The sequence below is a fragment of the Homo sapiens genome, chromosome 7 (assembly GCF_000001405.40).
Source record: "Homo sapiens chromosome 7, GRCh38.p14 Primary Assembly".
NCBI lineage: Eukaryota > Metazoa > Chordata > Mammalia > Primates > Hominidae > Homo > Homo sapiens.
In genome coordinates this window covers 134,999,250-135,013,376 of record NC_000007.14, presented here as the reverse complement: position 1 = coordinate 135,013,376, position 14,127 = coordinate 134,999,250, and the positions used below count along the sequence as shown (strand labels likewise).

Sequence of the window (14,127 nt, the reverse complement as noted above, 5' to 3'; positions counted from 1 at the left end):
TGTATATTTTCCTTTATTAAGAAACAAAACTGTCAAACCTTTTTACAAAGTGATTATGCAATTTTACATTCCCACCAACAATGTATTAGAGTTCCAGTTGCTCTACTTTCTAATATTTGGTTGTCAGTCTTTTAAATTTTTTGCCATCCTGGTAGATGTAAAGTGGTATCTCATTGTGGTTCAGATTTTCATTTCCCATGTTGAAAAATGTTTTCATATGATTATTGATTATTATAATTCTTTGAGAAATGTCTGTTCGAGTCTTTTGTCCATTTTAAAATTAGGTTTTGATTATTGGTTTGTAGGAATTCTTCATATATTCTGCATACAAGTCTTTTGTCATATATGTGTTGGGAATATTTTTTATAGACTGTGGCTTTCCTTTTCATTTTTAACTGTCTCTTAATGAGAAATTTTAAATTTTGATGAAGTCAACTTTATTAATTTTTCATTGTTTCTTTTTTCTTTCTGGCTCCTAAGGAATTGTTGCCTTATCTATAACTACAGAGATATCGTTCCATGTTTTCTTCTATGAGCTTTATAATGTTAGGTTATATATAGCTTCGTTTAGGTCTATGATCTGTCTTGAATTAATTTTTGTTTACTAGTGAGGTAGAGGTCAAGGATTTTTTTTTCTACATGTATGCTAAGTTGTTACAACACCACTTACTGAAAAGACTTTCCTTACCCTCATTGGGTTTCTTTGGTGCCTTTGTCAAAGGTCATTTGGTAATAAACACGTTGGTCTATTTCTGGACATTTTACTCTGTTCCACTGATGTATTCATCTTTTTGTCAATTGTGCCCATTAAAAAAATCTACCCAAACATACTTCTATCCACATTTCACAGGGCCAAAAACAAAGCAAATATTTAAATGTTTATTAGGTATTATACTTATGAAAAGTGCAAAAACAAAGAACTACAGCTTACTGATTTATCACAAAGCAAACACCACATAGGCCAAGAAATATTACATTGCAAGCACCTTACATACTCCACTCATGCCCCTTTCCCATCACCAGCCTCTCCCTCCCTTTGAAAAGTAGCCATTAGTCTTAATATAATGCAGTCATTTCTTTACTCTCCTTTATAATTTTACCACCTAAGCATTCATATATATGCATGTGTATAATACAGTTTTTATCTACAGAAGTGTAAATAAAACTATTGCTTTGCTTTGCCTATATTTGAACTTTATAAAATTAAAATCACATAGTGTATGGTATTCTTCTGTGCTGTTTTTCACGTATATTCATGAAATCAATCCACATTGTGGCATACTGCTGTAATTTGCTTATTTCATTGATATATAATATTGTACAAAATGTTACAATTTATCAATTTCTATTTATAATGGACATTTGGGCTGTTTCAGTTTGGGGCTATTAAGAAAAATGGTGCTATGAACAGCTTTATACATATTGCTTAGAGCACCTGTGCTCACATCAGTTTTAGGTATACAACTGGGAGTAAAAATTCTAGGTTGCAGGGCATGTATCAATTTCAGTAAATAACGCCAAGCTATCATCCAAAATGATTATACCAATTTACACACCCACCAGCAGGTCACAAAGTTTCTGTTTGCTCCATATGCTCACCATTCCTTAGTATAAGTTAAATTTAACCTTGCAAGGTTTCTGTGAAACAGAACTCAGCCTCATTAACAATCAGGGAATAGCAAATTAAAATCACAACAAGACTTCATGATAAGGTTGATATTATCTCATATGTTTATTGGCCATGTGAATATCATTTTTTATTAAGTGCCCATTCAAGTCTCTTGCCCATTTTCCTACTGGGTTGTTTGTCTTTTCTTATTACTTTCAGAAATGCTTTATGTATTCCAGAAATGATCTATTTGTCAGTTATGTATTGCAAATATTAATATATTCTCCCAAACTATTGTTTGCCTCGTTTTATTTTTTGATGAACTGAGGTTTTTAATTGTATCGTAGTCAAATTTATCAGTCTTTTTCTTTATGGTTTAGGGTATTTTCTGTTCTGTTTAAGCCTTTCCAGATTTTAATATTATGAAGATATTTTCTTGTATTATTTTCTAGAAGTCTTATTGTTTTACCTTTCATTTTTATATCCATAACCCATTTAAAATGGACTTTTGTGCATAAGGTTGGGGTGAGATTTCACTTTTTCCATATGGAAATCCAATTATTCCAGTATTATTTACTGAAAAGACCATCTTTAACTTTCTCTTGCAGTTCCACCTTTGTCATAATGACCATATATGCATAGGTCTGTTTCTAAGCTCTCTGTTCTATTCCATTCCTGTTTCCTTTCAGCAATGCCATATATTACTATAACTTTATTAAGGTTTAAGAGCTAGTAACTCTTACAATTTTTTTGTCCTTTTAAGAGGTCGTTGGCATTTCCATATGCATTTTTAAAGTACCTTGTCAATTTCTATAAAAAAATCACAATTGGGATTTTGACTGGTATTGCATGGGACATGTAGATCAGTTTGGAGATAACTGACATCTTTAAAATAATGAGTCTCCCAATCTATGAACATGCTATTTCCCTCTATTTACTTAGGTCTTTTAAAAATCTCTCTCAATGCTTTATTGCTTCTTCATAGAAATCTTGTCTATCAGATTTATTCCTAGGCATGTGGTTTTTAATTTTATTTGAAACAGTTGAAAACATACAGAAAAGTTGCAATAACAGGAAAAACAACTTTTTTTCCCTGAAATATTTGCAAACATAATACCCCATCCTCTCCAAATACTTATATTTCCTCCAGTGAAGGAAATCCTCCTATATAAATAACCATAATACAACCATCAAGATCAGGACATTAATACTGATTTATTTCTAATATTTAATCCTTAGACTTAAAATTTTGACAGTTGTATAAATAATGTCCTCTATAGCAAAAGGATCCACTTTAGAATCACACATTGCATTGAACTTTAATGTGTATTTTAGTTTTCTTCGATATAGAACAGCTTTTCAGTCTTTCCTTATATTTCATGACTTTGACACTTTTGAAAATTACAGGTCAGATTTCCAATGTCAGCTAAGAGATACAGAATGTTAAAAAAAAAAAAACAACAAAAAAAAACCCAGCACTTTGGGAAGCTGAGGCAGGCGGATCACGAGGTCAAGAGACGGAGACCATCCTGGCCAACATGGTGAAACCCCGTCTCTACTAAAAATACAAAATTAGCTGAGCGTGGTGGCACGCGCCTGTAGTCTCTGCTACTCAGGAGGCTGAAGCAGGCGAATCGCTTGAACCTGGGAGGTGGAGGTTGCAGTGAGCCGAGATCGCACCACTGCGCTCCAGCCTGGTGAGACTCACTCCAGCATGAGACTCCATCTTAAAAAAAAAAAAAAAAGTGTCATCCTCACCCTTACAACAAAAAATAAAATAACAAACTGCAAATTAATGACTTTTCGCCAACCCACCATAGAAGAGGTTGCAGGGCAACCAAATGCTCCAAAGTCTGCGAAAAGACAGAAACCTGCAAGGTGAAATTGGACCTCAGTAGTTGCCCACTGAAGGCAGATGCTGCTGAACTTCATATAATCTGGTAAAAAGGCACAGCTAAAGCTTTTAAAATAAATTTTTAAAAGCCAAATGTGAGTGTGAAGCCCCTTGGGGCTGCAGATATAAGTGGGTTAGTACCCACTTTCAGACTTTTCCTCTGGGAATCCCACCAGGTGCTCACAAGGAAGATCAAAGAGAATCCTGGGAAAGTTATTCTTGTGGTGTTGTGTTGGGGAGGGGAACAGCAGCCTCTGCCAAACTCCACCCAGACCCATCTATGCATCTCCCTTTATGGAACAAAATACTTAATCTATAATAAGACATTAGTAGAAAACCATTGCATCTGGGGAAAGGGAAGAGAAAAAAACAATCAAAAAAAATCCCAACACTACCACACTAACCTTGAGTGAGATGTAGGCATATGTGCTATTTTGTCTATATAGTTGCCTGTTCTAGTCATTTCACATAATTAGAATCATATTATTTGTTCTTTTGTGTCTGGCTTCTATCACTCAGCATAATGTTTTCAAAGTTCATCCATGTTGTACCATGTATCAGTACCTCATTCCATTTTTATGGCTAATTAATATTCTATTGTGTGGAAATACCATATTTTGTTTTTCCATTCATCCATTGATGGACATTTGGGTTGTTTCCACCATGTGGCACTAAGAAAAATGCTGCCGTTAACGTTTGTATGTAAGTTTTTGTTTGGATATATGTTTTCATTTCTCTTGGGTACATACCTACAAGTGGAACTGCTGGGTCAAATAGTAACTCAATGTTTAACTTTCTGAAGAAACACCAGGTTTCCAAAGTAGCTGCACAATTTTACATTCCCAACAGCAGTGTATAAGGGTTCCAATCTCTCCACATGCTTGTCAGCACTTGTTATCTGACTTTTTGATTCTAGTCATCCTAGTGGGGGTAAAGAGGTATCTTATTGTGGTATTAATTTGCAGTTCCCTATGACTAAAGATGTTGAACATATTTTCATGTGTTTATTGACCATTTGTTCATCTACTTTGGAGAAATGTTTATTTAGATCCTTTGCACACTTTAAAATTTGTCTTTTTAATATTGAGTTGTAAGAGTTCTTTATATAGTCTAGATAGAAGTCCTTTGTCAGATAAATAATTTTCAAATATTTTCTCTTGTTCTGTGGGTTTTATTTTCATTTTCTTGACAGTTTCTGTTGAAACACAGAAGTTTCAATTTTGATAAAGTTCAATTCATCTATTTTTTTTTTTTTCAGTTGTTGCTTGTGCTTCTGGCATTATACCTAAGAATCCATTGCCAAATCCAAAGTCATGAAGATTTGCCTCTATGTTTCCTTGTAAGGGTTTTATAGTTCAGGCTGTTAGTTAGATCTTGATCCATTTTGAATCAATTTTTGTATATGGTGTGAGGTAAGGGACAAACTTCTTTATTTTGCATGTGGTTATCTATCCAGTTGTCTGGGTGCCATTTGTTGAAAAGACAATGCTCTTCCTATTGAATAGTCTTGCCATCCTTGTCAAAAATCAGTTCACCACAGACACATGGGCTTATTTCTGGACTTCCAATGTAATTCACTGGTCTATAAGTCTATCCTCATGACAGTACCACACTGTCTAAATTACTATTTGTAGTAAGTTTTGAAATCAGAAATTGTGAGCTCTCAAATATGTTCTTAAGTTTTTTTTTCTTTTTTTTGGCCATTCTGGGTTCCTTGAGTTTCTATATAAATTTTAGTATCAGTCTGTCAATTTCTACAAAGCAACCCACTGGTATTCTAATGGAAATTGCATTCAATCTGTAGATTCATTTGGAGAGGACTGTCATCGTAATAATAGTAAGTCTTTTGATCCATAAACATGGGATGTCTATTTATCTAGATCTTTATTTTCTTTCAGTAATGTTTTGTAGTTGTCAGAGTATGTCTTGTACTCTTTACCTAAATGTATTCATATTTTATTCTTTTGCAAATTGAATAGTTTTCATAAGTTCATTTTAGGGTTGTTTATTATAAGTGCATAGAAATACAATTGATTTTTATATATTACTCTTGTATTCTGCAACCTTGCCGAACTCATATTAGTTCTAAAAGTTTTTTTCAGTGGATTGCTTAGGATTTTCTATGTACAAAATTATTTTATTGGCAAGTATAGTTTTACTTCCTTCTTTCCAATCTGGACTTTTTAAACTTCTCTTTCTGTCTAATTACCCTGGCTAGAACCTCCATTACAATGTCGTATAAAAGTGGAAAAGTGGGTATCTTTGTCTTGTTCTTGACCTTATGGGGAAAGCATCTAGTCTTTTCACCATTAAGTAGATATTAGCTGTGGGATTTCCATAGACGCCTTTCCTTTCTCTTCCTAATTTGGTGAGTGTTTTTGTCATGAAAGGGTGTAGGATTTCTTAAAAATGTCTTTTCTATGTTTATTGAAATTATCTTGTTTCTTTTTAATTCTACTGATATGTTCTATCACATTAATTGATTTTTGGGTACAGGGAACAAACAACATATCTGGATAGATTCCACTTGTTCATGATACATATTCTTTTTATTTGTTGCTGGATTTAGTTTGCTAGTATTTTGCTGATGAATTTTACATCTATATTCATAATATATATTAGCCTGTAGTTTTCTTGTGATGTCTTTTGTGGTTTTGTTATCAGAGTAATACTGGCCTCATAGCGATGAATGGGGAAGCATTCCTTCCTCTTCTATTATTGGAAGAGTTTTTGAAGAATTAGGAATTGTTTGGTAGAATGTTCTAAACATTAAATGTTTGGAAGAATTCAGCAATGAAGCTATTTGGGTTTAAGCGACTCTCTGTAGTAGTTTTTCTATTATTAATTAAATCTCTTTACTTGTTATATGTCTATTTAGATGTTCTATTTCCTCTTGAGTCAGTTTCCGTACTTCATATCTTGCCAGTCATGTGTCCATTTCATCTTAGTTATTTAATTCCTTTTTATTCTGTATCTGGTTCTCATCTAATTGATAATTACATCCTCTTAGTCTTCTAGCACAAGATTATCAGGACAGTTACATACATCATCACAAGTTGGTAATATTCAAGCCTTTAAACTGTTTGCAACTATAGCAGACAGTTTGTTCTGCATTTAAATCACATGCCACAAAATTTCACATAACTTCTTTGCAAGGGTATCCAAATCTAAGTATTCCTCCATAAGATTTCACAACACTTCCAAAGTTGTGCTGAGGAGCCACTTTATTTTGTCTTATGTGGCAGATATAAAAGATGACTATTTTCCATAAGGCAGAATAGGTGACTTTGTTAAGTAATTGCCAGGATAAGCCACTTCCATATGCAGATTCAAGTAGTTGTTCAAGTTAGTCCACTGTTATATGAACAAAAGAGTATTTAGGAGTATAAGGCCCTGCACTCAGCTAGTTGTCCTCCAAATTTCCACTGCTAGTTTTTCTATACATTGCTAGTTGTCCTCCAAATTTTCATTCTAACTTTGTTCCTTCCTTACTAAAACCTGAATTTATCAGGGCAGCAATGTACCTCCATTAAAAAACCTTAAGTTTTCAGGCTTGCCTGTGGCCAGGAGTAGCCATGCAATATAATTCTAGTCAATGAGGGGTAAAAGATGACTTCTGGTGGAATTTCTGGGAAAGCTTTTTTAAAAAAAATAAAAATAAAAAAATAAAAGGAGATAGAATCAACTGGCATAAGCATGTTGCTCTTTGTTTTTCCTCCTCTTCACTGTATTTTCATCTGCTTAACAGGGTCTTTTGCAAAACAAGAGCTTTTAATTCTGAAGTCCAATTTATCAAGTTTTTATTAATCATGTTTTTGATGTCAATTCTAAGAACTCTTTGCTTAGCTCTAGATCATAAAGATTTTCTATTTTAAAAAAGATTTATAATTGTATGTTTTACATTTAAATCTATGATTCATTTTGAATGCATTCTTGTATAAGGTGTTAGACTTAGGTTGAAGTTTTCCCTTGTCTCTTTCTTTTCTTCCTATGGATATCCAATTTCTCCAGCAATATTTGTTGAAAATGCAAACTTTCTTCCATTAAATTGCTTTTTCACTTTCATGAAAAACCACTTGGGAATATTTGTGTGGTTCTACTTCTGAGTTCTCTATTCTCTTCTACTAATCTAATACCACATAGCTTTGACTACTGTAGCTATATAAAAGCTTGAGGTAAGAGGCTACTTTATCCCATTTTATGCTTCATTTTCAAAACTGCTTTTTAAAAACGTTATTTTAGTTCTTTAGCCTTTCCATATAAATTTTAGAATAATTTTGTCTACATCTACAAAAAGAAATCCTGATAGGAATTTCTTGAAACCTATATGTCAACTGGGGAGAGTTGACATCTTACCACATTGAGCTGAGTCCTAATCATGAACATGGTATATTTCTTGATTTATTTAGATCTTCTTTTATTTACTTCATCAACATTGTGTAGTTTTAAGAATGCAAGTCTTATACATGTTTTGTTAGATTTACACCTAAGTAATTTTTAAAAAGTAATTATAACAGTAATGTTCTATATTGTGGTATGCGTTTAGATTACACAAATGTATGCATTTGTTAAATTTGTTAAAATTCATTGATACAATTAGAGTTGTGAATTTCATCTTTTGTAAAATGTACCTCAAAACTAAAAAGGAATTCTAGGTAACAATATAAATGCTAAAGTATTTACAGGTGAAATGTAAGGATATCTGCAACTTACTTTTAAATGAATAAAAAACTAAAAGGACTTAATTGGATAAAGAGAGGGATGGATAGATGGCTACATATGTGATAAAGCAATATAGTAAATTATTGATTGTAAGAATCTAGTTGATGGCCATATGGGTTCCTGTACGATCCTTTCAATTTCTCTGCATATTTGAAAACATTCTTAATAAAATACTGGGAAGTAAGAAGTTAATACAGAGCAAGAGGTTAAATAAAGAACAAAATAAATCTAAATAAATCCGATTTATAAAAAAAATTTATATTATTAGAATACAGCACAAAACTAGAACTAATAAATAATTTCAAGCACTGATTCTTTGAAAAAATTAACAAGATAAAGCCTACCAACATACTCAGGGGAGAAAAATAAGAATGCAAAAACACAATGTAAAGTATTAGGACAAAGGAAAAAAATCTCCTATCTTTAAAGGAAATTTTAGCAATTATAGGAGAATGCTTTGCTTAAATTTATTAAATGAATTTTAAAATCCTGCATGAAAAGCATTTTTCTAGGAAAATAACCAAAACTGTCCCTGGAACAGAATATATAGGAAACTTAGATGTAACAAAGAAGAAACTGAGAAGTTTTATAATAACAATATTCTCTGTCTCTCTAAAACAGTAACAAAATATGCACAGTTTTAGAAGATTTCTCTCGAAATTATAAAGAACATTAATTAAAACATTATTGAAACTGCTCTAAAGCAAAGAATTCTAAATAACGTTTATACCAAAACCTGATAAATGTACATGAGCTAGAAAATTTTTAAAAATCTATCTTATTTATGAATATTAAAGCAAAAATCCTGCATAAAATGAGAAAACAGGATTCAGCAACCCACTAAAAATTATCCACAATGACTAACTGCACTTTATTTCAATACTATACAACTGGTTCAATATTAAAAAACTAATATAACTCACCAACATAATAGGTCAAATGAGAAGAATATCATAATCCCTCTACCCCATAGATGTTAAAAAGGCATTTAATAAAGTTTAGTAATAATTTCTGGTAAAGTTTTCTTAATAATATAAGAACAAATTGGTAACTCCTTAGCAGAATCAAAAAAATTTATTTTAAACCAGAAGCCAATAATTTGCTTAATGAGAAAACAGTAATACTAGTCCCATTAAAATGAAGAATAAGATAAAGGCAACATTATTAAATATTTTTTGACAGTACCAGTAAATGCATTTAGTACAAAAAAGAAATATAAGGTATAAAAACTGAAAATTAGGAGATATAATTACATTAATACAGGATAACTGTATAATTGGAACATATATAATAATTTAAATATTAGAAACAAAGTATGGCAATTTTCAAAAGTAATACACACAAAAATAACTTTCCTGTATGTAAACAAGTTAGAAAATATAAAATAGTAAATATTCTATTTGAAATTGCTATTCTCACAACAAAAATATTTAGTTTTAGCAACAAAATAAAATACCTAACAATAAACTTAGAAACGGTGCAGAAAAAAAAAAATTAAAACTATAATAAAGGAGATAAAGGAAAACTAGGATAAATGGTGAAACAAATCTTATTATTGGACAGGAAGGTGCAATTTTAAAAGTATGTTACTCTTCCTTAAGTTAATCTATAAATTAATGTGATCACAATAAAGTTACCAGTTTATTTATTTTAGGACAACTAGGAAAGCTTATTTTAGATTCCATATAGAGACATAATAAGGCAAACGTAGCCAGAAAAATCTTGAACACAGTAAAACAGTAAGGAACTAAGTTTATCACACAACAGAATTATACTTTAAAAGCTATAGTAATAGAGTTTCATGCTGGCATATCAAAAGACAGATTAATGGAACAGAATTCAAAATTGGACCTAAAAGCTTAGTATATCATAAATGTGGCATTGTAAGTGGGTAGAAAAAGATAATTCATTTAATAAATTTTGTTGGAACAACTCACCAGGCATTTAATAATAGGACTGGATTGGAAGTTTACTTCTTATATCAAAATGGATTCCTGATGGATCAAAAATTTAATCACAAAAAATACACTTGGACACTACTAAGAAGTATGAAAATTTCAAAACCCCAGAAATCATTTAAAAATGATAGACAAAGTAACTACATAAAAATTACAAATTTATGCATGACAAAGACAAAAAGGCAAATGAAAAACTGAGAAAAATAGCATGTAACATATAAGACACAGTAATCAAATCTCCTGCATAGGCAGAAAGCACTTAGAGATCGAGAAGAAAAAAAGTCTAATCAATAGCAAAATGGGCAAAGGATTTCATCAGGTAGCTTATATAAAGTCAGTAGATAAAATGTTCCAATCTCATCCATAAAGAATACATGAACAAAAAACACATATCAAGTAAACAATATCAGATTGTCAAAAACCAGAATGAGTGATTAACAGTATTGATGAGAGTATGGGAAAATAGGTACTCTCATTGTGCAGCACTCAGATGGCCTAGGTTGTCCAAACCCTGTATATCCAAAGAAAGATTTGGACCTTGTCCAACTCCTGGGAGATAACCTCTAAGACCCTGAAATATTCTGCCTGTTCAGAGTTTCTTTGTCTACTTGGGGCCTTGGGCTACATCAGATAGTTTATGCTAATAATGTGAGTTGTGGTGGGGGGCTCTGGGCCACATTATATTAATTTTGGATGGAGAGGCGGGGGACTGAATAACTAAAGCCAGCCACGTGGGCATTCCATACAGACATAACTGGTCCCTAATAGAAACTCTGGACACCGAGGCTGGATGAGCTTCCCTGATTAGCAGTACTTCATGAGTGTTATCTCACATCATGACTGGAGGAAGTAAGTGCTGTCTATAAAACTCCACCAGGAGAGGACAACTGGAAGCCCCCATCTAGTCTCTCCTGGACTCTGCCCTAAATTAATTCAGCTGATTTTAGTCTGTATCATTTCACTGTAACAAGCCATAACCATTAATGTCATGGTTTTTCTGAATTTCTCGAGTCCTTTTAATGAATCATTGAACCTTGGGGTGGTCTTCAGGACTCCTGATCACAGGTGACATCAGAAGTGGGATTCACTAGAATTACCCTGACTCACTGAAATGTGGTGAAAGAGTGGTTTGGGAAAAGGAAGGGTAAGAGGGTAGGAGTTGACAAACCTTTGATTCTGTTTGGCCACTGGGCCACCCATGGTGTGAAGTAGCAGCTGTGTTGCAATCAGTTACTAGAAGTAAAAGTCACCACTGGAATTTAGAAATGATAAATCTAACTCCCAAAGAGTTGGCTCACTGGATGCATAAGGAAATGCAAAATGACAAGAAACAAGCTAAACATACAATCTCTCAGTTATTATGTGTAATAGCTAAAATTACAGTAAAGTGTTGAGGCAAATCCTGACACTGGGCCAAGCTTGAATTTCAGCTGGTCCAAGCTACAGACACTAGCTTCAGGGTTTCCAACAAAGGGACAAATAACATGCTGAAAAAACTGAGAGCTAAAATAACATGAGTCATGAAAGAATAGGGAAAGACAAAAGGAAGAATCAAGGGACTCATCCCAGCAGGTTGGACACTGATGGGATCAAAGGTCTTAATGAAACACTATTGGAGATTACATAGACCAATGGGAGCTCCTGGCATACCCCGACTTTGAAGAGCTTTAAACAAATCTGTTCTATTTACCTTAGTCTGGAGGAATTAACAAAGCTGAAAGGCAAAAAGGACAATAAAAAATGTTACCTCAAATCATCTGTGGCAATTGTCTCACAAACTAATATGGATAGACTGATGAAAAGGGTCAGGGTCCTTTAGTCTGATCCTTGTTTGGGGACATGGGCTATATGCACGTGTGGTTAAAATGGAAAGGGGGTGGAGAACAAGCTTTTCTGGGACTCTTTGACATGGCAGACCAATGCACTGAGGTTCCAAAATCTGTTGGTGATATCCTAATGTGGACTACAGTTAGGTTGGGAGGACTTAGCCATGAAATGGTTGATGAAATTAAGGTGAAAGTTGAGATTAAAACGGAAATATTTAAATGGACTTCATGTGAACTGGATGTATCTCCTTTACCTGAATGTATTGGGATGGATTTTATATCTGATTGGGGAACACTTCCCTACCTAATATTGTAAAACTGAAGGCATGTAAATTTGCCCTTTATCCAGTATACTGGCTAAATGGGAACCTATAGAATTGTCCAAGCCGACAGATTTTAGTTGGAAATAGTATAGAATACCTGGTGCACAAAAATAGAGTACACCTTTAATCAATGACGTGTTAGAAACTGGGCTGCTGGCACCGACACATTTTCTCTACAGTAGCCCTGTATGGGCCAGAGATTGGGGCTTATGGAAAAAGCCTGTGAGCACCATCCAGCAGTGACTGCCGGAATTTGGACCAGAAATTGTTCGGATGCAGCTGTAAGATATACAGCATTTGAGAACCAATTACTAACTTGCTATTGGACATTAGTTGAAAATGCCCCTGTGACTGAATGTATTAGTCAGGGTTCTTCAGAAAAAATAGAACCAGTAGTGTGTGTGTATTTATTATATCAGTGAATATACACATATGCGTATATACATTGTCACAAATTATGGAGACTGAGAAGTCTCACAATCTGCTGTGTGCAAGCTGTAGTACTCGGAAAGCTGGTGGTGTAATCCAGTCCAAGTCCAAAAGCCTGAGAACTAGAAGCTCTGATGTCTGGGGCAGATGATGAATATCCCAGTTCAAGAAGAGAGCTCTCACCCTTCCTCCATCCTTTTGTTCTATTCAAGCAGGCCCTCAATAGATTGGATGATGCCCCACCTCCTTATATTGGTGATGGTGGATCTTCTTTACTGAATCTACCAATTCAAATGCTAATCTATTCCAGAAACACCCTCAGAGGCACATCCAGAAATAATGTTTTACCAGCTATCTGGGCATCCCGTGGCCCAGTCAAGCTGACACATAAAATTAACCATTATACTGAAGGACATATAACCGTGAAAGCTGAAATGCCCACAATGCCTTAAGTGATGTGAAAGAAACACTCTAATAAGGCAGTGCCCAGAAGGGCTCCATAATAAATGGAAACGGTTTATACAGGACAATGTTACTGGGACAGTGCAAGGAGATACTCATTCTGTTCATGTGCAGGAGGTCTCTTTTCCACTGGAGCCTACTTTGAAATCAGCTGAGGAGCCACCAAATCCTATGGCCACCTGGGCTGTGCCCTATGAACAGCTCTCTATTGAAAGAGAGCTACTAGGTTGACTGATGGCAGTTCCAAGGTGGATAATCAACATCCTGTTTGGAAGACTACTGTACTACATCAGATGATGGAAAAGTTCTGATTGAGGAAGGTAAGAACAATCTGCTCAGGCTGAACTATATGCTGTCCTTGCAGTGATGAAAAAACTGAACAAGTATAAAAGTTCCATTTAAAAATAATCAAAGTTTGGGTGTGCCAATGGCTGGCCATATGGTCAAATAGATGGGTGATGAAAAACTAGTCTATTAGATGCCCCATGTGGGGCACCATCCTATGGAAATCACCATGGAATTTAGGGGCACATTAAAGTAGGACATGTCAGTGCCCACCAGAAGAACACTCTTCCAGGATCAGATGATGACTGGACCCAGTAAGTGGAAAACTTGGTGTGTTTACTTGAGGTGGGCATGTGGGTCCATGAAATAAATGGAAATGGGAGAGGTGTAGGAATGTAGGCATGGGCTGATTGTTGGCATATTTCTCTTACTCCCTCTGAGGCACAAAATACAAATAAATGCTTCAAGAGAGACGGAGACCGCAGGTGGCTATGGGCAGATTTCCTGGGGAGCAGGTGGCACACACAACTGACAAGTAACTACATCGGAATGCTGTGGTAGCCCCCAGAGACTATAAAAGGGTCCTGACAGGACTAGACATTTACTCTGGACTAGGCTT

General features: G+C 34.3%; 1 protein-coding gene across 21 annotated transcripts in view; it reads right to left on the bottom strand.

The window, feature by feature from the left end:
• AGBL3 (AGBL carboxypeptidase 3) overlaps positions 1-14,127 on the bottom strand; it is a 149,271-nt gene that overhangs the window by 122,402 nt on the left and 12,742 nt on the right. For 5 of the 21 annotated variants that reach the window (NR_160298.1, NR_160297.1, NM_001367813.1 and 2 more), the window contains one exon: positions 866-3,335. The exons of 14 other annotated variants lie outside the window; for them this stretch is intronic. Coding sequence is in view for 5 of the 7 variants with exons in the window: in NM_001367813.1 (NP_001354742.1) it covers positions 3,112-3,335 (224 nt within the window). In the remaining 2 variants the exon portion in view is untranslated. Of the gene's footprint in view, positions 1-865; positions 3,336-3,424; positions 3,481-14,127 lie in introns of those variants that run through there. 2 more of the 21 variants (NM_001367811.1, NM_001367819.1) reach the window with 1 other exon arrangement.